General features: G+C 33.7%; 1 protein-coding gene across 5 annotated transcripts in view; it reads right to left on the reverse strand.

Annotated features, from left to right (window-relative positions):
* Positions 1-22,433, reverse strand: part of SULT1E1 (sulfotransferase family 1E member 1) — a 39,024-nt gene extending 16,591 nt beyond the window's left edge. The window contains exons 1-8 of one of the 5 annotated variants that reach the window (XR_007057952.1): positions 22,337-22,433; positions 19,788-19,941; positions 17,589-17,714; positions 16,505-16,602; positions 11,725-11,851; positions 9,986-10,080; positions 6,449-6,629; positions 736-4,394 (exon numbers count right to left, since the gene is read on the reverse strand). Coding sequence is in view for 4 of the 5 variants with exons in the window: in XM_047416101.1 (XP_047272057.1) it covers positions 4,282-4,394; positions 6,449-6,629; positions 9,986-10,080; positions 11,725-11,851; positions 16,505-16,602; positions 17,589-17,714; positions 19,788-19,932 (885 nt within the window). In the remaining variant the exon portion in view is untranslated. Of the gene's footprint in view, positions 1-735; positions 4,395-6,448; positions 6,630-9,985; positions 10,081-10,992; positions 11,021-11,724; positions 11,852-16,504; positions 16,603-17,588; positions 17,715-19,787 lie in introns of those variants that run through there. The other 4 variants (XM_047416101.1, NM_005420.3, XM_047416100.1 and 1 more) reach the window with 4 other exon arrangements.
* Between the last annotated feature and the right edge of the window lie 2,350 nt (positions 22,434-24,783).

Consider the following 24,783-nt stretch of genomic DNA (forward strand, 5'->3'; position numbering starts at 1 on the left):
TAGAGATGGGGTCTCACTATGTTGCCCAAGCTAGTTATAAACTCCTAGGTTCAAGCAGACCTCCCACCTTGACCTCCCAAAGTGCTGGGATTACAGGTGAAAGCCACTGCTCCTGGCCAGTTTTTAATATTTTAAGACAGGTATCATTACCATTACTAGGTGTCTTTTTTAAATGTTTCATAAAATTCACTGAAGTCATCTAGGCTTTGTGAATTCTCTTTCAAGAGTATTTTATTATATGTGTAATGGTTATAGGACTATTCAGGTATTTTATTTCATTTTGTATGAGTTTGGTAGTATGTGGTTTTTGAGGAAATGGCCATTCCTTCTAAATTGTCAAATTTACTAGCATAAAGTTTACAGACTTTTCTTCTTATGCTTTCACTGGTTGTAGAATCTGTGGTTATATTTCTTATTTTATTGCTGATTTTAGCAATGTAGGTCCTCTGTTTTCCCATCTTTGTCAGTCTTTGTAGAGGTTTATTAATGTTATTAATCTTTTTTTGAGAACTAGCTTTTGCTTTCATTAATTTTCTCCATTGTTTTCCTGTATCCAGTTTAATTTAATTGTTTTTATTTTTTTTTTACTTTATTCTGTTTACTTTAAGCTTCTTTCATTTTGCTGAACTGAGAAGAAAATTTTTAAATATTGGGCCAAAATCCAGAAAGAACAGAATTCAAGAGAGTTAAACCTTGCTGTTACAATGAAGAATTTCTTGATTTCTCAGAAGTTACCTGAGATGTGGACCAGAACCTTTTCAAGTCTTCTGGCTTACGAGGCTAAGGTAGGTGTCAGCAAAGGGAGCAGAAGGAGGTCTTTTATGACGCTGTACTTTTACTGGACCCTGAAGACATTAGACCTAAAAATAAGTGAAAATTTATTTTCTCTTTTCTTTTTCTTTCCCTTTGTTCCCTTGAAAATGGTAGCATACAAGGGGCTAAGGAGTTTCAGAGGCCTAGCAGACAAGTAGCATGCCTGGGGAATGGAAAGTGGCAGTGAGATCAGAGGTCTGATAGAGAGCAGGACATAGAAGGTGATCTGCCTGATCAGGTAATTAGTTATATACAAAAGGGGAATTACCTGGCTGAGGTAGGGTTTCTCCACTCCAAAGTTACTCTTCCCCTCATACTGCACTTGCCCTTTATAAGAAAGTCCCAATATGGATCTCACACTTAAGGAATGGCACGGGGAACTATACATAAGTAGGTGAAATTCTTCTGTATGGTATATTTATTTACCACATTTAATTATTTAATCATTTATTTATATCAACACGGATGCTTGTTTATTTTATGCTGTCAGGCATAGTCTCATACTACTTCATTTATTCGTTGCTCAAGTTGAATTCTTAGGTATTTTAACCATATGGATGAACTTTATGGGATGGCTCCAATTATGAGCAATTACCACACCCATAAGTGCTAACTGAGTACTTCCTAGTGTTGACAGAATGTCTATTTTCTGTCACTATAACAGAACAACATAAACTGGGATTTACAAAATCCAGAAGTTTGTTTGGCTTAGTTTGGGAAACTGAAAAGTCCAAGAGCATGCCATTGGCATCTGGTGAGGGCCTTTTTGCTGCAACATAACATAAAAGGCATCATATGTGAGACAGTAAGAGCCAGAGAGGACTCACTTTTGTAATAAAGTCTCTCTGGCAATAATGAACCCACTCCTGGGATAGTGACACCAATCCATTCATGAGTGCAGAGCTCTCATTAATCAATTAATCCATTTATGAGGGCAGATTAATTGAGTTTTCAATACATAAACTTTTGGGGAACACATTCAAATGATAACACATGGTATTAATCAGTCAGTCCATAAACCTTTAAAAAGTATTTCTGTGAATTTATCTGGGCCTGAAGGCATTGTTCTAGAGATATAATTATTAGGAAATATTAAGCAATGAGGTAAAAAAATTCTGTAGCTTTCTTGGAAGCACAGAACCAAAGCTACATTGGCCACCCCTATGTATTTTACCACATGATGCCGTCCAAGGTTTTCATTGTCTCCAGTCCATATGGACTGTAAGCCCAGCTCCAGGAAGATGCCAATAATCTAAAGGTGTTGAAGTTTCTACGTGAAATTGAAGCTAGATCCCAGCCGTATTACTTCTCCAAAGAAGATACAGAAGTTTCTTGGCAAGCTTTGGAAAGATATAGTTGGTCCAAATTTTATTCAGGCTAAACTGGAATGTGTTGTTCCACCAAGGACTGATGTCAGAAATATACGTAGGTTTATTATTGCTTACTTACGTCAATTATAATGTGGGCAACATCACTATGAATCTTACAAAATGCATTCTAAAAAAGTTATTGGACATTATAATGTGAAATTTTAAAAATTATGACTAAATGGGCACATAAAAAATGTAAAACAATTGTTTTCAGGGATTGATTCTGATTCCCCCGGTAAACACTGTCCTCAACAATATCTTAATATTTTCCAAGACTCTCCAATTTTTGTATAATTAATAACTATATTAAACATTAAAAAAAAGCTTTGATTCTTAAAAACTATAACTATTGAATAGGGTGCTCAGAAATCCATGGACTTTTCTCCAAAAAGTAAGAAAATAAATCATCTGGATTTCTCCCCAGATTTGGCCTTTTAGTCTATTGTAGTCTAGATAAGCATTCTACTGAAGACCCTAAGTAAATATGTAATGATCTTGTGTCTCCTCTGTGTTAGTGAAAGGAAGCATTGACTAAACATAGTACAGAAAAAGAATACAATTTTAAAAATAGAAGATGTTTTAAATAAAAAACAATAAAAAATTTTAATTCTTTTTTCTTCTGTTTTTGTTATATTTTACTGCCAAATATCTTATTCTTTAAAACTTATTTTACAATATTTACATTTGTTGGATTGCATATAGGACAGAAGGAACCCTAAAGCATAAATATTTCAAACTAGCTGAAGATAAATCACACTCATTGGAATTATTTTTGGATGTTTGGAAATCTGTTGTGTTATGTTGAAAAATTGGAGTTAGACTAAGGTAAATTTAAAATTAACTCATTTTGTTGAAAGTAAAAGAAAATGGGCCAGGCGCGGTGGCTCACGCCTGTAATCCCAGCACTTTGGGAGGCTGAGGCGGGTGGATCACGAGGTCAGGAGATCGAGACCATCCTGGCTAACACTGTGAAACCCCGTCTCTACTAAAAATACAAAAAATTAGCCGGGCGTGGTGGCGGCCGCCTGTAGTCCCAGCTACTTGGAAGGCTGAGGCAGGAGAATGGCGGGAACCCAGGAGGTGGAGCTTGCAGTGAGCATGAGCAGAGATCACGCCACTGCACTGCAGCCTGGGAGACAGAGTGAGACTCCGTCTCAAAAAAAAAGAAAATAAAAGAAAATAAGGAGGGAAATCATAGCTATAGTTATGCCCCCTATTTATATATTATTTCATTCTTTCTTCCAGAGTCTTCAAAGTTCATGCACCATTTTTATTATATACTAATGTCCTACTAAATGGAAAATCAATCACAAAAATAATTTGAAATGCTTGTTTATTTTTAATACAACTCTAACAAGATGAATAATCTGTGTTACTACATCATTCCCATAGGTTATAGTTGTGCATGATATTTATAAAAAATAGAAAAGAAGAAGAGGAAGCAAAAGAAAAAGAAAACAAAATTTAAGAGATGATAGTAGGAAAAAAAAGTTTCTTATTTCTCATATGCATGTACAGCTCAATAAACATGTTACCTGGGCCAGGCATGGAGGCTCAAGCCTGTAATCCCAGTATTTTGGGAGGCTGGTGTGGGAAGATCACTTGAGCTCAAGGGTTTCAGACCAGCCTGGACACTATAGCAAGCCCCTGTCTATACAAAAAATAGAAATAAAATTAGTTGAGCATGGTGGTGTGTGCCTGTTGTTGCAGCTACTTGGGAAGCTTGAGCCCAGGAATTCAAGACCAGCCTGGACAATATAATAAGACCTCATCTCTACAAAAAAACATTAAAAAAATTAGCCAAACATGGTTGCACATGTCTGTAGTCCTAGCTACTTGGGAGGCTGAGATGGGAGGATCAATTGAGTCAAGGAGGTCAAGGCTGCAATCAGCCATGATTGTGCCACTGTCCTCCAGCCTAGGCAACAGAGTGAGACTCTGTCTCAAAAAAAAAAAAAAAAAGTTAAACAAAAATTTAAAAAGAAAATGTCAACATAATCCATGATTATGTCTTTTCTAGCAATCTAAAATAAGAAAAAGTGGAGAATAATGAAAAGAAATCTTTAATATCAGATATGTTAAGTAAAGAAAGACCTTCTTAGATCTCAGTTCGAAACTTCAGTGTAGATTCCTTCATTTGCTGCTCATAATGTTTATCAAATTTTTCATTCAGGGCTACTGTAAAGTGATTTTTCCAGTCTCCTGTAATTCCTGTAACAAAAAAGAAAGCTCAATAAATATTAAGTCTTCCAAAAAGAATCATTAGGTTTGCTAATTTCATCACTTTCATTAACACCTAATCAAATATTATACTTGTAATTCTCAATTTTAAGAATCAAATGTATACCTTTAATGATATACTTTTTTGGGCTTACAAAGATGGATTTGTCCTAATTGGTTTAAAAAAACAACAAATTTAATTCTCTGATTCTTTCTTCTTATGCCATTTACTTTATTTTTCTTCTGAAGTTTCATCTCAGCTGTTGGGGCTCCCAGGATAAGATCCATGTTTTACCCACTCTCAAGGTGTTAAATATCATCTTAATGCTGATAGCACTAAAATCCAGACTTATGCTTTATATACAACTGCCTACATGATTTTGCCACCTGAAAAATGTCCAAATTTTCCAAATACAATTAGTTCAAAAATAAATTCATTTTATTCCTTAGCATATTGTGTTTTCTCCATTTACATTTTAATGACCTGTGTAGAGTCAACACCAGGTATCTACACATAAGCTTGGACGTTATTCTCTTAACCACAACATCTAATTCATTATATTCAGGCTTTCTTTATATCTACTGCCTCTTAAACACTTCTGCTACTGCCAGCCAGAGAGTGTTTCTCATCTGGGTAATTATAATAGTCCAGCAGGCTTTTCCTGTTTTGCTTTTTAACATACTTCCAACACTCACCTTGCAGAAGGAATTCATCTTTTTTTTTTTTCTTTTTTTTTTGGAGACAGAGTCTCGCTCTGTCACCCAGGCTGGAATGCAGTGCAGCTATCTCTGCTCACTGCAAGCTCCACCTCCCAGGTTCACACCATTCTCCTGCCTCAGCCTCCCGAGTAGCTGGGACTACAGGCGCCCGCCACCATGCCTGGCTAATTTTTTGTATTTTCAGTAGAGACAGGGTTTCACTGTGTTAGCCAGGATGGTCTCGATCTCCTGACCTCATGATCCGCCCGTCTCGGCCTCCCAAAGTGCTGGGATTACAGGTGTGAGCCACCGCGCCCAGCCCACCTTCTTTTTTAAACTATTCAAGAGTTCACTTGCCCTCTTGCTCAAGGAGCTCTAAACTTTCCCACTGAAATAACCCAAAAACCAGAAGACAGAACATGTGTATCCTAAAAAAATCAGATAGGTTCTGAGGGTACAGCAGCAAGTCACCGTTTGCAAGCAAGACAACCGTTTTAAGTCCTCTGTAACATTTATATGTAGAATTTTGAAAAAGGAAACATATAATCAAAAGAGTACATAATTAAAATATAGTTTGAGAACTGAATCTCTTTTCAGTGGATCCCTGTTCTGTTTTGTTTTTTTCCCCAGTGGCAGGTTTGTTATTTTACAAATTCCCTGACTCTCACTGACAGTATGGTTCAAAGAGCAAGATTTGATTCTATTCTGTTTGTTTCTGCTTCCTCATATATAAATAGACTGGTGTCCCAGTGCTCTGAATATCTGAATATCTTACATGCCTTTAAATTTGTTAACTGGCTATATCTCATCAGGCTATGTCTCCCCCCAAATAGAATTTTTTTCTCCTTATATGTTGATATTTTTTGCTAAACAGAGCTATATTTGAATTTCTATTTTTTGCCACTTACCCTTGAAAGGTGTTTGCCACTTGTTAAAAAATGTTGACAAACTATTCTAAACTTATTTCTTCAACTCAAAAAGAGAGAGGAATAAAATCTTTCTGCGGAATTTCTGGTTAGAACTTAAAGGAACTATATGATACATGTTGTAACACTGAGGCACATAGGCTTGGTAAATTACAGCTAGTAGAGTGTGATACTATTTCCAATGCTGAGATTGAGGAGTCTGCTAGTTATTTTAACATAATATGATGCATATAATAAATAATCAACAGGTAATTGCAATGTAATAGAAGTGTAACTTAAAGAGTGTATTCAAATATGAAAGACTGCTGAAGAAAACTTAAGCTGGGTTCATAGGCATTAAAATACCTCACTAGATTTTTGCCTATAACCATGTCACCTTGTGACTTCCTCTAGTATCGAGGCAAACCACATTTTTCTCACCCTTTCTCATGAAGGGCGACAATTTCTGGTTCATAATTTCGTCTGGCAGTGTTGTGTAATTTGTGGATGGATTGTTCTTCATCTCTTGGAACGAAGTATGATGTATAATCCTGTCCACAAGCTCCTCTGATGGCTTCCTTTCCAGGAAATGTATCAATTTTATCACCTCTTTTCTGATATCCTAGGGAGAGAAAATGTTTTGAGAACTAAATTGCTAAAACTGAATAAATCACTATCTAAATGAAAGAGAAAAAATAAACCTTTCTCTTTTCTCCTACTGATATTAGAATTAGATTTCTAATGAGAAATCTAATTGGGGGAATTTTATAAAAGCTGTTTTAAGTATAATTTTCCTCATCCATAAAATGCTTATAAAAGATACTTTAAGATTATTCAAAAAACTAAATGAGATGTTTGTGAATGCTTATTGTAGTCCTTGATGCATAATCACACTTAATAGATGTTGTCTATGAAAACAAACATCATACTCAAAACCTAAAGTCCCCTGTGAAAAATCAAGTTTGGGGGATAAAGATATACAGGCAATTTTCATTTTTCTCCTAATTTATTGGTGTAATTAGTGAGAAACAAAGAAACAAGAAAGATTAAGAAAAGGTGTAAAAAGTCAAATACTCACAATGCAACATCAGTTGTCTGTACACCATAGCTACAAACATCCCCATATCTGTGCCACTCCTATAATATACACCATTATTCAGCTATATCTCTCAGTGCAACTATTTGCAATACTAACCGCAATGTGTATTCAAGTGCACATTTCTCTCTATGCCAATCAAATGCTGTTTCTAAATTCTCTGCTCAATAAATTGTAGTTTGCCTTTTCGATTTCAGCTTATTTATCAACTTATTTAGGATAATATCCTTGGCTATTCTAATTTTGGGTAGATGACCCTGTTTTGCTCCCATAATTGTTTAAATAAATCTAATTTACCACATGTGTATTTTTGTAATGTTTTATTTACTTGTCTATCTTACTCAAAAGAGAAGTGGGGATAGTTAATAAGTACAAAAATAGAGCTAGATAGAATGATTTAGTATTTGATAGTATATCATGGTGACTACAGTAGACAATAATTTATTGTACATTTTAAAATAATTAAAAACTATCATTGGAATGTTTGTAACATGAAGAAATGATAAATGCTTTAGGTGATGAATACCTCATTTACCTTGATGTGATTATTACGCATGGTGGCCTATATAAAAATATGTCATGTACCCCATAAATATATACACCTACTATGTACCCATAAAAATTAAAAATTGAAATTAAAAAAAGATGATGCTTCAAGACACAAGAAAAAAGATTATATGTATATATGGGTGCAAAATAGGCATCTCACATGTATGTGTATATATATATAATATATACACAAAATCTTATTTTATATATACAGACATATGTGTATATATATAGTGATAATGTCTTGATTTCTTTCTACTGGATACATTGTAGAAACAAATAAAAATTAATTTGTACATTCTTAGCCTTATTAATTCAAATATAGAGGAAACCTAAACATGGCTATTATTGACCAAAATCGGGAGTAAGTAGACATGGACAATTTGAAATGGAGGAAGAGAGTTGGAGTAACTATTTAATTTTGTTTGTGTGTATTTCAAATTCAATGTCATTAATAGTCTAATTACAGAACACAGTATTGGATAATATAATAAACTGTAGATCATGACTGCTTTTCTTATTCAAATTTGATCTAGTGTTAAATTCTATAAATACATAATTTAATTTATAAAATATTATTTATGATTTTATTTTAAATAAATGCTCACCAAAAACACTCTAAAATTACTGAAATACCATAAAGGATTTTAAAGGTTATTCAAATATATGAATAAGACATGGATATCAATTGCTTTTTTGGTGATAGTAAAGGATAAGAAAATAGAGAAAATTTCTCACCTCTTAATAAAGAAACTCATTATGTTTTCTATGTTTTAAAAATTATGAGATATATGTATATATCTCATTTAAAGAGGAAAACTATATACAGCACCTATTACCTACTACTTAACTTATGAAATAGAACATTCACAGTTTTCTTAGTTTTTTTTTCTTTTGAGTTCCCTTCACCTCTACTCCCATCCCACATAAACAAAACAATCAAAAAAAAAAAAAAAAAGAAAAGAAAAGGAAAAAAACTGCTAATTTCAAATTATTATCTTCTCTACTTTATAGGTTTCAAACTTAGGTATGAATCTCTAGACAACATATAGTTTGATTTTACCTAGCTGATGTGTATATTTAGTGTACTTCCTTTCATTATAATATAATATCTAATTGTAATACAATAAAATACATTATATATGGATTCTTTGGTATATATATCTGGGTTGTTTTCAATTTTTGCAGTTATTAAGAATGCTACTATGAAAATTATTGAATATCTAACCTAATGTACACAAGTCAGAGTTTTTCTAGAGTATATGTCTAAGAGTAGAATTTCAGGGTCTTAAACTATGTGCATGTTTGCCTTTGCTAGATAATGACAAGTTGTTTCCAGTGTTTGTATCTTTCTACACTACAATCAACAGTGTGTTACTTTTCACTGATTCACATTCTAATATTTGTTATTGTCAGATATTTAAATTGTTATCAGTGTAGTGGGTGTAAAACAGGTATCTCATAGTGATTTTTATTTTGAATTACACTAACAATAAAGCTGAAGAAAAATTAGATTATAAGAAAATTTTAAGGCCATAAAAAATTTGTGTATTGATATTTTAGCATTCTCTTTACACTCTTCTTCTGGAAGTTTGAGTTGATATATGTGAGACATTATCACTGTATCTTATATACCAAAAACATTTTTATTTTTTAAATGCTAATACTTAGTAAGAACCATTACTTTTCATCAAATAGCCTATTTATCTCACTGTGCTACATTCTATAGAATTTCCTTAGCTCCATCTTTTACTTCAATAATTCACTATGTAGCCATGTCTAATCTATTATTGAACCCATCTCTTAATTTTTCATATTTTTTTAGTTATTTTTAGAAATTGTATTTGGCTATTTTTTTTCAAATCTGCTCTGTCAATTTTAATAGTTTTTGTTTCTTTGTAATTTTTAAAATTTCATCTTTTATTTATTTAAACATATTAAGCATGGTTATTTTATAGGACCTATCTAACAATTGCAACATCTCTACATTTGCAGACCAGTTAATTGCTTGCCCATGTTGATTCCTTGTGTGTGAATGTGTGTGTGTGTGTGCCTATGTGTGTGTGTTATTGATTCATGAAGTCAAGTTCTTTCAAATTTTTTCTTTGAAATTTTTGAGACTTGTGGTTTAAAATGTATTTATTTTCAGAATATTTTTATTTGCTAGCTTCAAATCTATGCTAAAGTATCTGTATTATTTTGGTCCTTTCCTTTTAAAAATTTACGAGATGGCTGTCATCATTTATTTAAAGGAATATTTTTGTATCCAGAGTATTTTCAAATGCTAACATCTTAGAAATTACCAAGTTGCTTATGTGTTCCCAGTTCCTCACCTCTTTCAGGTCTTCGTAGAAAAGAAATAGTACACGTGGACTCTTTCCCTTTTCCCACCAAGATTTTACATGTTTATACCAGGAACCATAAGGAACTAAAATTAGAGAGAAAAACAGTGTAAAAGTGGTATCATCTCTAAAACTGCTCGAAAACTAGTGTTCAAGCAACAATAACAACAAATAAATATAAATAGATAATCATGAAATTAGAATAGATCAGCTGTATATCTTAAGCAAAGTTCTCTGCAGCAAGAGAGGCAAAGTATGTTAAATAATCTATGTATGTAAAAATAGTATGAACTTTATCAGATAATGTAGTTTATGACAGAAAAACAGGGAAAGTTCTCTCATCAATTTGATTTAAAGCTTATGAGAAAATTGTTGAAACTGGTGTGTGTGTGTGTGTGTGTGTGTGTGTGTAGAATCAAATTGTTAGTGAAGGGAGTTGACTTAGTGAAACTATCAGTGGTCTGATAGTCATAAGAATATAGTTCTGGTCTCAAATTTACCATTTACAAACTAGGTTTGGCAACTAAAACTAGTAACTATATGAGTATTTATTACACTATTAGTTTACATGGGAAGGAATGTTCTCGTAGGTACCCTTAGTGTCATTCTCACTCCAGGAAATTAGATTTTAGAAATGATGTAATATAACCAAATGCTGTCTCTTCCTTTTTCTTTCTCTTGCCTCACTCATAGTAAAAATGTTTCATAAAATATAAAGCTGACAAAATAATATAATGTTGTGTGAGTCAAAAGGTTCTGCTTTGCCTGAAGTCATTGTATGCCTCCTCTGTTCTTTGACTCCATTAGGGAATTTTTCCTTACAGAAAATGTTCTACAGTGAAATTTATAGTGATCTTATTTCTCCCTTTGCAGTGATGCAAAATTATATTTCTCTGCCCTGCAGTGGAGGTCTTGACAATCTTAAGACATATGTATTACTCATTATGCTTTAGCAAAAATTTTCCCAAAATGTAGCAACAAACACAAAGCACATATACCTTATTTGTCTTGAGTCAATATTATCATCTGTGGATATGAAAACACATTATTATTTTTCTTTATAATTGTTACTACATGATCAGAATGGCCTTCTTTAGAATACTAGACTATCCTGCACCCTTTCTTCCTCAAATCTAAACACTTTAGTAAAAGTGTTTAATAAAAACGAAAAATTTTCCAGAATATCTGCTCAAGTAACTCTTAACAAATTTGAGAAACCTGGTTAAAATATTCAGATTGCACTCTGGGTAGAATGAGGAAGAGTTTTGTAGATAGTCAAACTTCTTTGTAAATTCCATATTCATATAGAACCTGGCAATTTTATTGGAAATAAGTGAACATTCTCTCTTCTCTAATCTCTCCCCAACCCATTGTTCAATAGAGTTGTAATAATACGGTGTAAAACATTTGTTTCTACTAAAAAGAGACAAGGCAGAAAATCAGACACTGAGTCTCAATCTTGGAGAATAAAATTGCTACCCCCAGCTCCCAAACATAATTCTATATATTTATTTTTAGGTGTTGGACCAGAGTGCTCAGATTCTGCAATTTGCCTTCTACATCTGGACACAGTATGCTTGCTCTAAACCTCCAGGCGCCTTTAGATTTCTGTGTTTTAACTATGAATCAGGGAAGAAAACGTACCAGAACAGTTAAAAACTTTTACTTGGAGATGGCATTTGTCTTATAAAACCTTGAAAAAAAATTCAGTGTAAAGAAGCTGTTCCTACCCTGTCCTTGCATGAATTTCTCCACAAACTCTGGAAAGGATCCAGGATTTGGATGACCAGCCACCATTAGAAAGAAATAATAAAAGGAAACAGCCACATCCTTTGCATTCCGGCAAAGATAGATTATCTAAGAGGATGAAATTGTATATTAAACCACTTAACATTTTTTTCAAACAGTCTCATCAAGATTTTTTTAAAAAGGATTTACATTTTCAAATATAAACATAATACACATTAATTTTACAAAATGCATAAGACATGTACAATTATTTATAAAGACATCTTCAATAACCTGAGGTGACAGTGGTTTTTGTAGTGTTGTTCTCTTTGTTCTCACTACAAACAGAACAACATTATTATGCCATTTTCACACATAATACCTCATTTGAGTGTTGTAAATTTTATCAATATAAATTAAGTCAGTTACATTATTTATTATTCTCAATGTATAAGTGAAGAGATTAAGCTGAAATTTAGTGATAATATAGCATTGAGAGTAAATCAATGAGAGTAAACCATTTGGCATATCATTCAGTCAACTATACAGTGCTCTGGTCTTTATACTACACCATCACTCCACATAATTAAAAAAAAATAGTTCTGAGGTCTCTTCACTTTCAATATTACAGGAAAAAAACATTTTATGAGGTGAAAATATAACCTCTGCCAACACCTTGTTAGTTTCCATTTTACATGCAGAAGAAATACCAATGAATTAGTTTTCAGAAAACTGTGGTTTTAGTTTCTAGTTTTGGCAGTAAGAAAAAACAGTACAGTAATTTTTGACCTAAATGTTTTCTTTACTAAACAAATGATTTGTGTTAGATCATCTGTGGCCTACTCTAGGTCTGATACTCAATGTTACACGAAAAGATCTGTGAAAGTAAAGTCCAGTATCCTCATGGGCTTCTACTTAGGCCCTCAGGCACCTAAGCAATGTCATGAAAGGATGCTGTTGAGTATCCACTGTTTATGGAATACCACTAAACTAAAGCTACTAAATTGTCTTACTGATGACATTTTCTAACAATGTTGTAGAAATCTAGCTTATTCTTAGATGTATAGCTCTCGTTTTATAGCCCTCTTGTAAAAGCCTCTAAAAACTGCAGAATAAAAGTGAACATTTTTCATATAAAATCCATCATTAGCCATATTGAACTTTTCCAATCTTACTTATAACCCTTCCTAGTTCTTTTCATCTATTAGCTGAATGGAACCCTTTGCCACTGTATGCATTAATTTACTTCAGAATTTTCACCCCTTGTCTTCTTTGTTCTAGTCTGTCTTTCTTGAATGTTTTCTGTTTCTCAAAATGCTATCTGTATTTTATAGCTTGCCTTCTGGTCCTCCATGAGGCTTTTTATTTTCCCAGATAGAAAAAAAGAGTGATCTCTCTTTCCCTAAACTTCTATTAGTTTATATTCTTTATTTTGGCAGATCTTATTCAATATCCCAAACTTTTTACTGTACATGCTCATTTTTTTGTCCTCAAGGGAAATCTAGCTCTTTCCTGAAGATATGACTTGCACTGCATCTCTCTTGAGTCAAAGTTACCAGTTTCCCAATGATTCACTTGTGATTGTAATCTGTCTTAAAAATTTTGCACTTTAAAGACCCCTATTCTTTTTGTTGCCATTGCTTTTGGTGTTTTAGACATGAAGTCCTTGCAAAGCCAAAATTGACAAATGGGATCTAATTAAACTAAAGAGCTTCTGCACAGCAAAAGAAACTACCATCAGAGTGAAAAGGCAACCTACAGAATGGGAGAAAATTTTTGCAATCTACTTATCTGACAAAGGTCTAATATCCAGAATATACAAAAAACTCAAACAAATTTACAAGAAAAAAACAAACAACCCCATCAAAAATGGGTGAAGGATATGAACAGACACTTCTCAAGAGAAGACATTTATGCAGCCAACAGACACATGAAAAAATGCTCAGCATCACTGGCCATCAGAGAAATGCAAATCAAAACCATAATGAGATACCGTCTCACACCAGTTAGAATGGTGATCATTAAAAAGTCAGGAAACAACAGGTGCTGGAGAGGATGTGGAGAAATAGGAACACTTTTACACTGTTGATGGGACTGTAAACTAGTTCAACCATTGTGGAAGTCAGTATGGCGATCCCTCAGGGATCTAGAACTAGAAATACCATTTGACCCAGCCATCCCATTACTGGGTATATACCCAAAGGATTATAAATCATGCTACTATAAAGACACATGAACACGTATGTTTATTGTGGCACTATTCACAATAGCAAAGACTTGGAACCAACCCAAATATCCAACAATGATAGACTGGATTAAGAAAATGTGGCACATATACAGCATAGAATACTATGCAGCCATAAAAAAGAATGAGTTCATGTCCTTTGTAGGGACATGGATGAAACTGGAAACCATCATTCTCAGCAAACTATCTCAAGAACAAAAAACCAAACACCTCATGTTCTCACTCATAGGTGGGAAGTGAACAATGAGAACACCTGGACACAAGAAGGGGAACATCACACACTGGGGCCTGTTGTGGGGTGGGGAGAGCGGGGAGGGACAGCATTAGAAGATATACCTAATGTAAATGACAAGTTAATGGGTGCAGGATACCAACATGGCACATGTATACATATGTAACAAACCTGCACATTGTGCACATGTACCCTAAAACTTGAAGTATAATTAAAAAAAGACCCCTATTCTATTCCTATGATACTTAACTAACTAATCTATACCTCTCCTATCTGATGCTATTTCTAAGCTTGTGGCCATTCCCTTGCTTTAACTGAAGATTTGAACACCTGCCTCATGGTTTCACTCTCCATTCAAATTCTTTTATCATTCTGTGTAATTTTATTGTTGGTGTGTGTGATCTACTTGATTCTCTAAGTTCATGTAGTCATTGATCATTACTTCTATGTTACTTCAGACTTTTGTAACCACTTTTGTAACCAAATACTGAATCTTGCCTTCACCATAAAGGTTTCACTTTTGAAGAATTATCCTGAGCCATAATCTTTTCTTCCAAAAAATCCCGCTTCTTCCTTCTTCCCCATCAGTTATTCCACATACCTCTCCTACAATCAAACCAATGGCTCAAATCCGTTGGCCTCAGTTATTTATATTATCTACTAGCCTGTTACTTTTTGTCACTTTCTTCTCTTTATCACTTACAGTTTCTGCTCCATCATTCCAAATATCCTGTATCTATTTGCATAAAGGATATTTACAAATATCCTGTATCTATTTGTTTTATTTTGTTGTTGTTGTTTCTCTGTAAATAACCCTGGAAATACTCCAAACATGAATCCCTCCAACTATCTCCTAGTCTTTGATAAACTCTGAAAAATAAGCAGCTTTGTGAAGGCTTGGACTATTATAAATGTCTGGTACCTGTTTCCATTTGAGAAGTAAGGAGTTAACAGCAAGTCCACCACTATCCTCCAAAGGAAAAAAGTGTCTTGGTCAAATCTCTTAAAAAATAATAATGACACATCTCCTGGAAAGTACATAACTGGTCTTTACTAATGAGACAGCCCTTATGCATGGAATGACTTCAGCAGGACGTATATCGTCTATCTAGGATTGCTAATGATAAAAACAAACTAACCTGGCAATCTTTGATTTTTGTCTGTAGATCTCCAGGAAATGTCAAATATGCCATGTAACGGATTACAAAATGGAAATATTTAATGACTGGGATATATCCCCTTTTTGTTAGTGATGACTGCAAATAATACTATAAGATCTTGAAGAACAGCACTGGTGAGAGAAAGGTCTTGAAGAACAGAATTGGTGGTCTCAGACTTCATGTTTTCTCTGTATTTTGAGGTCATGTATAATATTATTTTTAAAGAGCAAAACTGACAGTGTAAACCGTCAGCTTAATATGTCTATTACTCCTCATTACCATTAAAATGTCAGAGTCCAAACATCTTAACTTGACTTTCAATATTTCTTATAATCCGTTCCTAGCTAATCTGCCTTTACTTATTTAGCCAATATGTACACTTAATCTTCCAGCCAAGCTGAACTGATTTTAGATGCCCCCTCAGATCATCTCTGAATTGTCATCACACTGATACATCATTCAAATATCAGCTGAGATGTTGCTCCTGGATGCCTTCCCTACCCCCAGTGTCTGAGTTTGAATTCTCTCTCTTACTTGACCTATGATACTTTTTGTCTTGTCTGTTAACCTGTCCTTTTTCTGAAATGGACTAGGTGTCCATGAAGACAAGGCTTGCATGTGTCTTACTCTTATGTCCCTAACACATAATAGGCACTCAATACATAGTTATTATATGACAGTTATCTGACCTATCCTTTTATGGTTCATTTGCATGCCTAACAGCACCAAGCACAGTATTTTGCAAAGGGAGGATATTCAATACAATTAGTAATAACAACAAATACAAAAGTAGCTAACATTTGTTGTTTACAATATGCTAGGAATTAGGTGAAGCACTTTATAAGCATTATCATGTAATCCTTATAACAATTCCATGAAAAAGATGTTATTATTATCTTTCTTCTACAGATGTAAAAACTTAGGCTTAGGGAGTCTAACTGGACTTTTTAGAACCACATCTGGCAAAAGACAGAGTTGGAATTAAAATATAGACTCTCTGACAATATTGACTGTATTTATTCCACATTTGTTAAGTGTCTATAGATTCAATGAAAGAATAAATAAACAAGTGTGTATAACTGATGAGATCACTCTATCATTTCTTGGAATTGGATGAAGTTTTGAGAACACTTGACTCTGGTTACCTTACAATCCTTTTCCCAAAATGAGGCAGGAAGAAGTTCAGGTGGCAAATGAGTCTTCACAATTCTAGGAGAATTCATCTCATCTAATTGTTTTACTCCTGATTTTTAAAAAAGTAAAGGTTAAGCAACTTCAAAAATTGTAACTATTTATGTGGATTTATATAGATATTTGTAAAATAGAAGTAATTCTAAGATTCTATATTGTAATTAGATTGTGTGTAACACAAAGTATAAATTCTTGAGGGAATGGACACCCCATTTTCCATGGTGTAATTATTATGCATTGCATGCCTATATCAAAACATCTCATGTGCCCCATTAATATTTACATCTAATATATATTCACAAAAATTAAAAATTAAAAGATTCTATATTGTGTTCATAATAATACTTACTATGAAAGAAAGAAATATAGATAGAGAAAATTACATAGAAAAATATAAAATGAAATAAAATTTCATCACCTGAGAGATATCATTCATATTTTGGCAAGCAACCTTCTATACAAATCTACTTATATTCTCAAATTTACAGCCATCCCAATACCATGCACACAGATGAACGTTTTGATAGCTTCTAACTATCTTTTTCTCTCAAAATATTATATTTAAACTGCAATTTCAAGAAACATCCAAAAATGTTAATGATTTTATAGTGTTATTACACAACCTTTAACTATTCTTTTGTCGATTAGCATTTAGGTTGTTTCCAATTTTCCACAATATTAAAAGAATCTGTGGTAAATATACTTTTGCATATATCATTGAAAAATTTATGGGTATTTTTCTCCATATTTAAAATATCATCACATTTAGCCCACAGAGAAATAAATGTTTACATATTACTAAACTCTGCTGAAGGCATACAAGAATTGTCCTTATTCACTCTATTCCAGACATATGCTGTACACATACTATACTGCAAAGCCTGTCAAGATTTAAATTTAAATTTAAATTTATATGCTGTCTTATGTAGAAGACCTGATACTAATTGCCATTCTTGCTTATAATCTCATTGCTTGTACCATGTACATACACACCTTAGAATATATGCAAATAGTTTTTAAAATCAACTTGAACGTTACCATTCATGAGGTTTTCTTTTCTGCATTCCAGGAAAGGTATTCGATTAAAAATTACATCTTCTTTGCACTTTTCCACATCACCCTCTTTATAGATCATATACACAATTTCACTAACCCAGGTTGTACCTGTAAAAATTAAATAAACCTGAGTCTCCTGCTGACCCTGTAGAGTTGATGACATTAGTGCTGCATTTATGGATGGAAAAAGTTGGAAGGTACCAATGCAATACTATTTAAAGGGTGTCTGAATAGCCACAGACTCAGGAAATATTTTCTATAATATTTTATGTTTAGAACACAAAAATAACCTCAAGAGATAAAGATAAATATTATAGTAAAGCACACCTGAGACCTGTGTCCAAATTTGTTCATGATGAATTGTGACATTGTGCAAGCTGCTAACAGTTTTGGACTTTAATTTTTACATCTAAAAAGTAAGAAGACTTGAATAAGCATGCTTCCAATCAAAAATTTTACTGATGGTATATTATGTCTCATGTTGGGTCCTAGGTCAGAAAACTTAGCAAAGGATAAATCTGGTTCCTGTCCTTAGGGAGCTAAAGGCCTTTTGAAGTCAGTGACATTGTTCAATAGCTACAATAAATTTTGTTTTTATTGATACTATTGTATAATATGGCACAGGGATTTAAATAACTGCAAAGAAGAAATCTATAACACAGTGTTCTGCTGCTACTGTTGTTGCTGCTGACATGACATTTTGACAAGAAATGCCTTTGAGAGGATGTGATCCTTCAGCTTAGCCTTAATAATTACTGGCATAAATTCACCACTTGTGGGAGGTAAGAAACAGTTCTACCAGGCAGAAGCCCAGTCTCTCTTTTTAATCTAAAGTTGGTACTTAAGAATGGTATAGTGGTTCGGAAAATAATTGGAAATAGACTATAAGACGTAAATCAAAGGGTCTATCTGAAGAGAGGAGTTGGGGCTCAGGCAAGCAGATAACAAGCCTTGTAGTTCACACTAAAGAGTCCAAGTTATTTTTATAAAAATCATGAAAAGGTACTGACATATATTATATTAAGCAGAAGAGCAAGATTATCAGGATTGTGTTTTAGAAGAATTTCTCTAGTGCCAGAATAAACACAGTAGCGGAGGAGGGATCAATAGAAAGGGAGACAAGAGACCTGTTAAGAGGCTGACTGTGAGACCTATCTACCAGACTAAATGACCAAAACGTTTTGACTGATTACAAATGCCAGATGAATAAGCAAGAGAGATTGAATCTAGAATAGCTCACGGGTTTCCTCTTCAGATGACTGGTATTGTGCTGCCATTTATTCCAATAGGGAAGAAAATAAAGAAGCAGATTTAGAGTCAAGATAACTAAGGGCGGCCGGGCGCGGTGGCTCACGCCTGTAATCCCAGCACTTTGGGAGGCCGAGGCGGGTGGATCACGAGGTCAGGAGATCGAGACCATCCTGGCTAACATGGTGAAAACCCGTCTCTACTAAAAAATACAAAAAAATTAGCCAGGTGCAGTGGCGGGCGCCTGCAGTCCCAGCTACTCGGGAGGCTGAGGAAGGAGAATGGCAGGAACCCAGGAGGCGGAGTTTGCAGTGAGCAGAGATCGCGCCACTGCACTCCAGCCTGGGAGACAGAGCGAGACTCCGTCTCAAAAAAAAAAAAAAAAAAAAAAAAAAGATAACTAAGGGCATACTTAGTGTGTTTGGCTTTATTTTTAAGTGGTAAATGGAACAACCAGATGAAGAAATATGAATTCGGACTAGTCTAATTTCTAAAAGTCTACAGTTGTAAAACTCCAGAACTATGCTTAAAAATGGAGTTTTGTAGATAGACTTAAAGGGCTGGTGAGCTGAAAGAGAGTTTTAGAGTACCTGTAAAAATGGTGGTCATACGCTGTATATACGACAACATTAATGACATAAGGTAAACAGTTGGTAGTTTTAAATTTTCATTATGGGATGAATACAGGTTCATTAGTATATATTATGTAAGTTTCTAACTGTGCTCAACAACATCCATTTCTCAATGTACTATTCAAGTTACAGGTAAAAATTGTGGTCATGGAATAGAGCTACCTTTTCTATGTCCATATCAAAACTACCGCATCTGTTCTTAATATAGAGAATGAGTGTGTACGACATGAACACCTTAATATTTACCATTTACAGTGTGTTTGTTATTTTTAGGTGAAAAAAGAACAACAAAGAGATTTACCAGATTTAGGGTAGGTGGCAATGACAAGATCATCTGGTCTTGCCTGGAACGCTTCCACATTATCCCAATATTTGACAAAATCTTTATACATTAGAATCCCATGGACTTCTTCAAACTTTTCATAATAGTCAAGTTCAGAATTCATTGTGGTACACTGAAAAAAAACCTCTGCTTTATACTTTGTATGTACTTAACAATATTTCACCATTAACAACTATGTATATAACGGGACCCTCCTACATACCTAGCACTTCTTAGTTGTTGCACATATGGGGCAAAAACATAGTAAAGTTGCATATCAAATAGTTTTGGTACATAGAGAGTTTTTAACCTTATTAGAAAGATGTCTAACACATAAAAGAATAGGAAAGCACAAGTGATTATGAAGTAAAATGCTTAAAACTAAATAAAAATGTGGATATATTCAATTATATTTATTCCGTGATAAATAAAAACCACAGAACCTTCAATTTCTTTCAAAATTGCTGGGGCATATAAAAAGACAAAGAGGTCCAGAATTACAGTTATTTTAGCAAATTATCCAATTATGTATATGTCAAATAACAATAAAGATCATTACATTTGATTATTATTGCCGGGTATCTAAGTCAGAGATTTTTGACTTCCTGAATATGTATCATTTTTTTAAATAAACCAAATGCTTGGTGAATGTATTTAAAAGAAAAGATGAAATTAATTACACTGTAATGGTTATATCAAAGAAATGGAATCTTGAGAGTATAAAGGATTCCTCTGTGACCTTTAAAATTACTTTTTTCCCCATTCGATCAATAAGGTAGTGGATACTCCCATTGAATGACTTGGCTAAAAATGATAAGGTTAAGCAAGATGGTTATCATTTCCTAATTCATCTCCTGATCCCATGACAATCTATTTCATGTTCAAGGTTACTAACAGAATTTTTAATTAGGCATACTTTCTTTCATTAGCTTTCAAATTCCTTTAGTATCTTGTTTTTTCAACTGCCAAACTTAGCTTATTTCAAGTTTCTGACATAGCTTCCCAACACATTTTGTCTTTCCTGACATTAGCCTTTCTAGATCTTCCTCCTGTTCACATTTGCCCAAAAACCTGCCTGATAAGTTCTTCTACACACATAAATTGCCCCAGCCCTTAGGACAATCTCAACTTTTAAAAAACCTTCCTCTACATCATATCAGATGTAATGTCACCAAAAATATGAGATTTCTATTTCCAAAATGCATATTAGCCTTATCAATAAATCACTTGTTCCCCAAGCCTTCTCCTTAGTCTCAGAAAATAGATCTTTCACTAGAAGAAATGTGTATAAAATGCACCACGATTTGTCCTGCCTATTGGTTTGCTTACTCATGTGAATTACTTTCTTGGTGTTCAGCCAAGTTTATAAGAATTGGCTTATAGTCAGCTGGGAGTGGTAGATTTATCATTAAGTGGTTGGCTGACTTCCAGCTACTCCTTCATAGTCAATTTTGGTCTGAGAGGCAAAGTAGGTGGCATGTAATAAAATATCTTTTCTCATTCTATTCCTTTTGGTAAATTGTCTCATATTACAATGTATGGATTTACTTCCTATGTGATCCCCATTTTCTCAAAAGATCTATTTCAGTTAGAAATTGTCAATTTTTTATTCTGAGTATGTAGGTCAGTTGTTCAGAAATAAACATCAAAAAAGTTGTTAAAATTGTGACTTATAAATTCAATTAAACTCAGAAAGTGTTTTTCCTTCCCGCTCTCCTTCCTCTCTTTCTTCCTTTCTTTCTGCATACTCCCCTCCTGCATCTTCCAACCTGCCTTTTATCCAGCAAATACTCCCTATGTGAATGCCTACCCTTTTCCTAGGCCCTGTAGTCAGTGCTAGAATACTATGGTGGATATAGATACATAGGGTTCTCATAGTCCCTACTTTCTTAGATTTACCTGTATGAGGGCAAAGTGACTTTTGTACATGTTTCTATCCCAATCTCCAGCACTATGACACAAAGTAGATGTTCAGAAATATTTGTTAAGTTCAATTATTAGATCAAGAAGCTCTCTAGTTTCTACTAAGTAAGGATTCACAGATTTAAAAGGCAATATATGTCAATGACCTACATATTAATTATTTACCAAGGACTTTGGATTTCTGTCATATTTATCTGAAGTTTCTTACATGAAAGTAATGCCCCTATTTGCAAGACCCCTTATCACAGGAACACAAAACTAAAAGTCAATCTCTATTCTACCTCCTTCTACCCTGCTTGCTTTATTTTCTCATTGGTAAAATGGAGAACACGTCCAGCATTCAGCACTTTTAAGATAGCAATGGTACTGTAATTTTACATTAAAGCAATAAGCAACAAAATACTACATAAATGTAAAATATTATTTTTAACAACAAATTATTTTAAAAGGTTTTAAATGCTTCACATCATTAATTAACTAAAGTATCAATCAAGACTTTGGTCTTTGTATATTTTATTTTTAAGAGCTTTGTAATACATAATTTTCATTCTATATTTTATATATCTAAAATCTAAGTATTGATATTAATAATAAAAAAGTACAACCTGTTTAGTTGATCCTGTGAAAGAAATTGATCTAGTTTATATCTCTTCAAATACCAAGGCAGATCTTAAGCTGCAAAAAAAGATGAGAACCACTTCTGCATTTGGAATGTTTCTGGTGAGTTTATATCCTGAATGCCAGAGAAGGAGGTGGAGATTAATTTGGGGGCTTGGCTTCATGAAGTCCATGATGCAATAGTTAATGTAGATGTAAATGCATACCTGCAGCTGCAGTAACCACACAGAGTCATGTTCATTCATGGAGATGTAGAAATATCCTGCTGTTATTTTTTTAATTATTTGGCTCATATTCAAATTCCCAAGTCTGCCGTCAGGGGTTGGGGAAGAAGGAGGGAGAAAAGGAAAAGATGAGAAAGAAGAGGCCTGGGAAGAGAGACTGGGAAGGGAGAATCCCTTATTCACTCATTGACAAATAATAGCATGACTATGGTTAACTTTCAAAAGAATAAACTTATTGGAGTGAAGAAAGAGAAGCCAATGAGGAAAGAAATAAGACAGCAAGGACCCTCAATCAGACCTAGCTCAGTTTATTAAGACCTGCCAAAGAAGTCATTGGGTTGTATCTTAACATGTCAATTGGAAAACACCTATTTAAACTCTTTGCCTTTAACTCTTAAGCAGACCTGAAAATTTTAAAAAGCAGATGACAGCTAAAGAAAGAATGTAAACATCACTCACCTTTCGATTATTATTTTAGAAACCTGACTTCTCTCTGCTCCCAACCACAAAATAGCATACTGTGAATTTTTCAGGTAATGATAGCTACCAACACTTGGAATTTACACAAGAGAATTAGAAAAATAAATGGCCAAGGGTTTGTGGAATCCACAAATGCATTACCTTTCTTTTCATTTTTCTGCACCTACTCTGTCACTTAAGAAAATTATCCTTTGCTCCACCCCATCAACACCTCCAACCCTGTTATTTCTTATTTCTCTATTAATTACTGTTAGATTACATTTCCTTTGAGAGGCTCACTCTTACAAGACTCTATGTTTCTCTTAGTGACTTTTAAACTTTGAACTTTCTCCTAACTAGTATTTATTTTACTGTGTTGTAAATCAATGTTTGCTTGTCCAGAGTACTTTTTAAATTATAAATAGCTTGAAAACAGGGTCTTACTCTGTAATTAGCATTTTTTTCTGGCATCTAGTAGGCTAGGCATTGAATATGTATTTACTGAATAAAAGTGGCTGATTTATTCAAGAAATATAAGAAGTTAAGGGGGCTATAGTTGTTATAGAAAGCAATATCTAGCCTTATGCAAAATAAGAGGTGTTAAGTGGTTTCTGAAAAATGGGGCTTTTCATAATAGAAAATTAAGGTAGAAAAGGAGTAACCAGGGACCCAAATTTAGATTTTCATTTTACTTTGTTTTATGCAGTCTGTCATATTATTTGAGTTAAATAAAATATGTGTTGAAAAACAATCATTAAATGTACAAATTTACTCATTCATATGCCTACTATGTACCTTTAAAAATTAAGTATATATATACAAATTTAATACAGAATATAATTTTTAACCTTGCAGCATAGCTTCACTTTATTTTTTTAATGACAAGAATCTATGAAGTTTCCTTTATTGTTTAGCGAAAACATTTTTTAGTCCAAAAAAATCAGAAAATGAGCACAAGCTAATATAAACAGATTTAACCTCAATACATCTGTCTGTTTTTCACTTGTAAACAATTGGTTGCAGGGATGTCACAAATGCTCCTAACTCATGTAATTCTGGCAACCACAGATGTTCAATACACATTTATTCTTAGAAAATCTTTCTAATGTTAAGAATTCACTTACTGATAAAAACAAAACAACAGGCAAGATGGCCCTGAAACCTCATTCTTCTCCATGAGTAATGGGTACAGACTGAGTTACAAAATGTTTGAGTCAATGTCAAAAAAAAAAATGGATCTCAGATAAGGACCGGTTTTTAATGTTTATCTTGACCCTCAGAATTTGGGCAGATATCTTGAAAATATGTACATTTATTAAGTATTATAATAATGTCAAACAAAAAGAATGTGGGCAGATATGCAGACAGACATACTGCTGTTATACTCTGAAACACTGAAAACAAGTGTAAAGCTGGCACTTCTGTGTGACAGAGTTCCCAAAACAATTACTGTGGCTTTTTTGTGACTATTGGGCTTTTTCTGTAGCACACACTTTCTCTGGATCAAGATTAAAAGTCCTATAGAGTCTTTTTTATAAATAGCAAGATTTTAATATTAATAATGTGAAAATAAGTTGCATGTTTAACTGAGCCTTTGTCAAAGTTAACCTGTAATCCCCATTACTTGGGAAGCTGAGGCAGGAGAATCTCTTGAACCCAGGACGCAGAGGTTGCAGTGAGCCGAGATGGTGCCACTGCCCTCCATCCTGGGCAACAGAGCCAGACTAATTCTCAAAAAAAACCCAAAAAAC

The sequence above is a fragment of the Homo sapiens genome, chromosome 4 (assembly GCF_000001405.40).
Source record: "Homo sapiens chromosome 4, GRCh38.p14 Primary Assembly".
NCBI classification, from domain to species: Eukaryota; Metazoa; Chordata; class Mammalia; order Primates; family Hominidae; genus Homo; species Homo sapiens.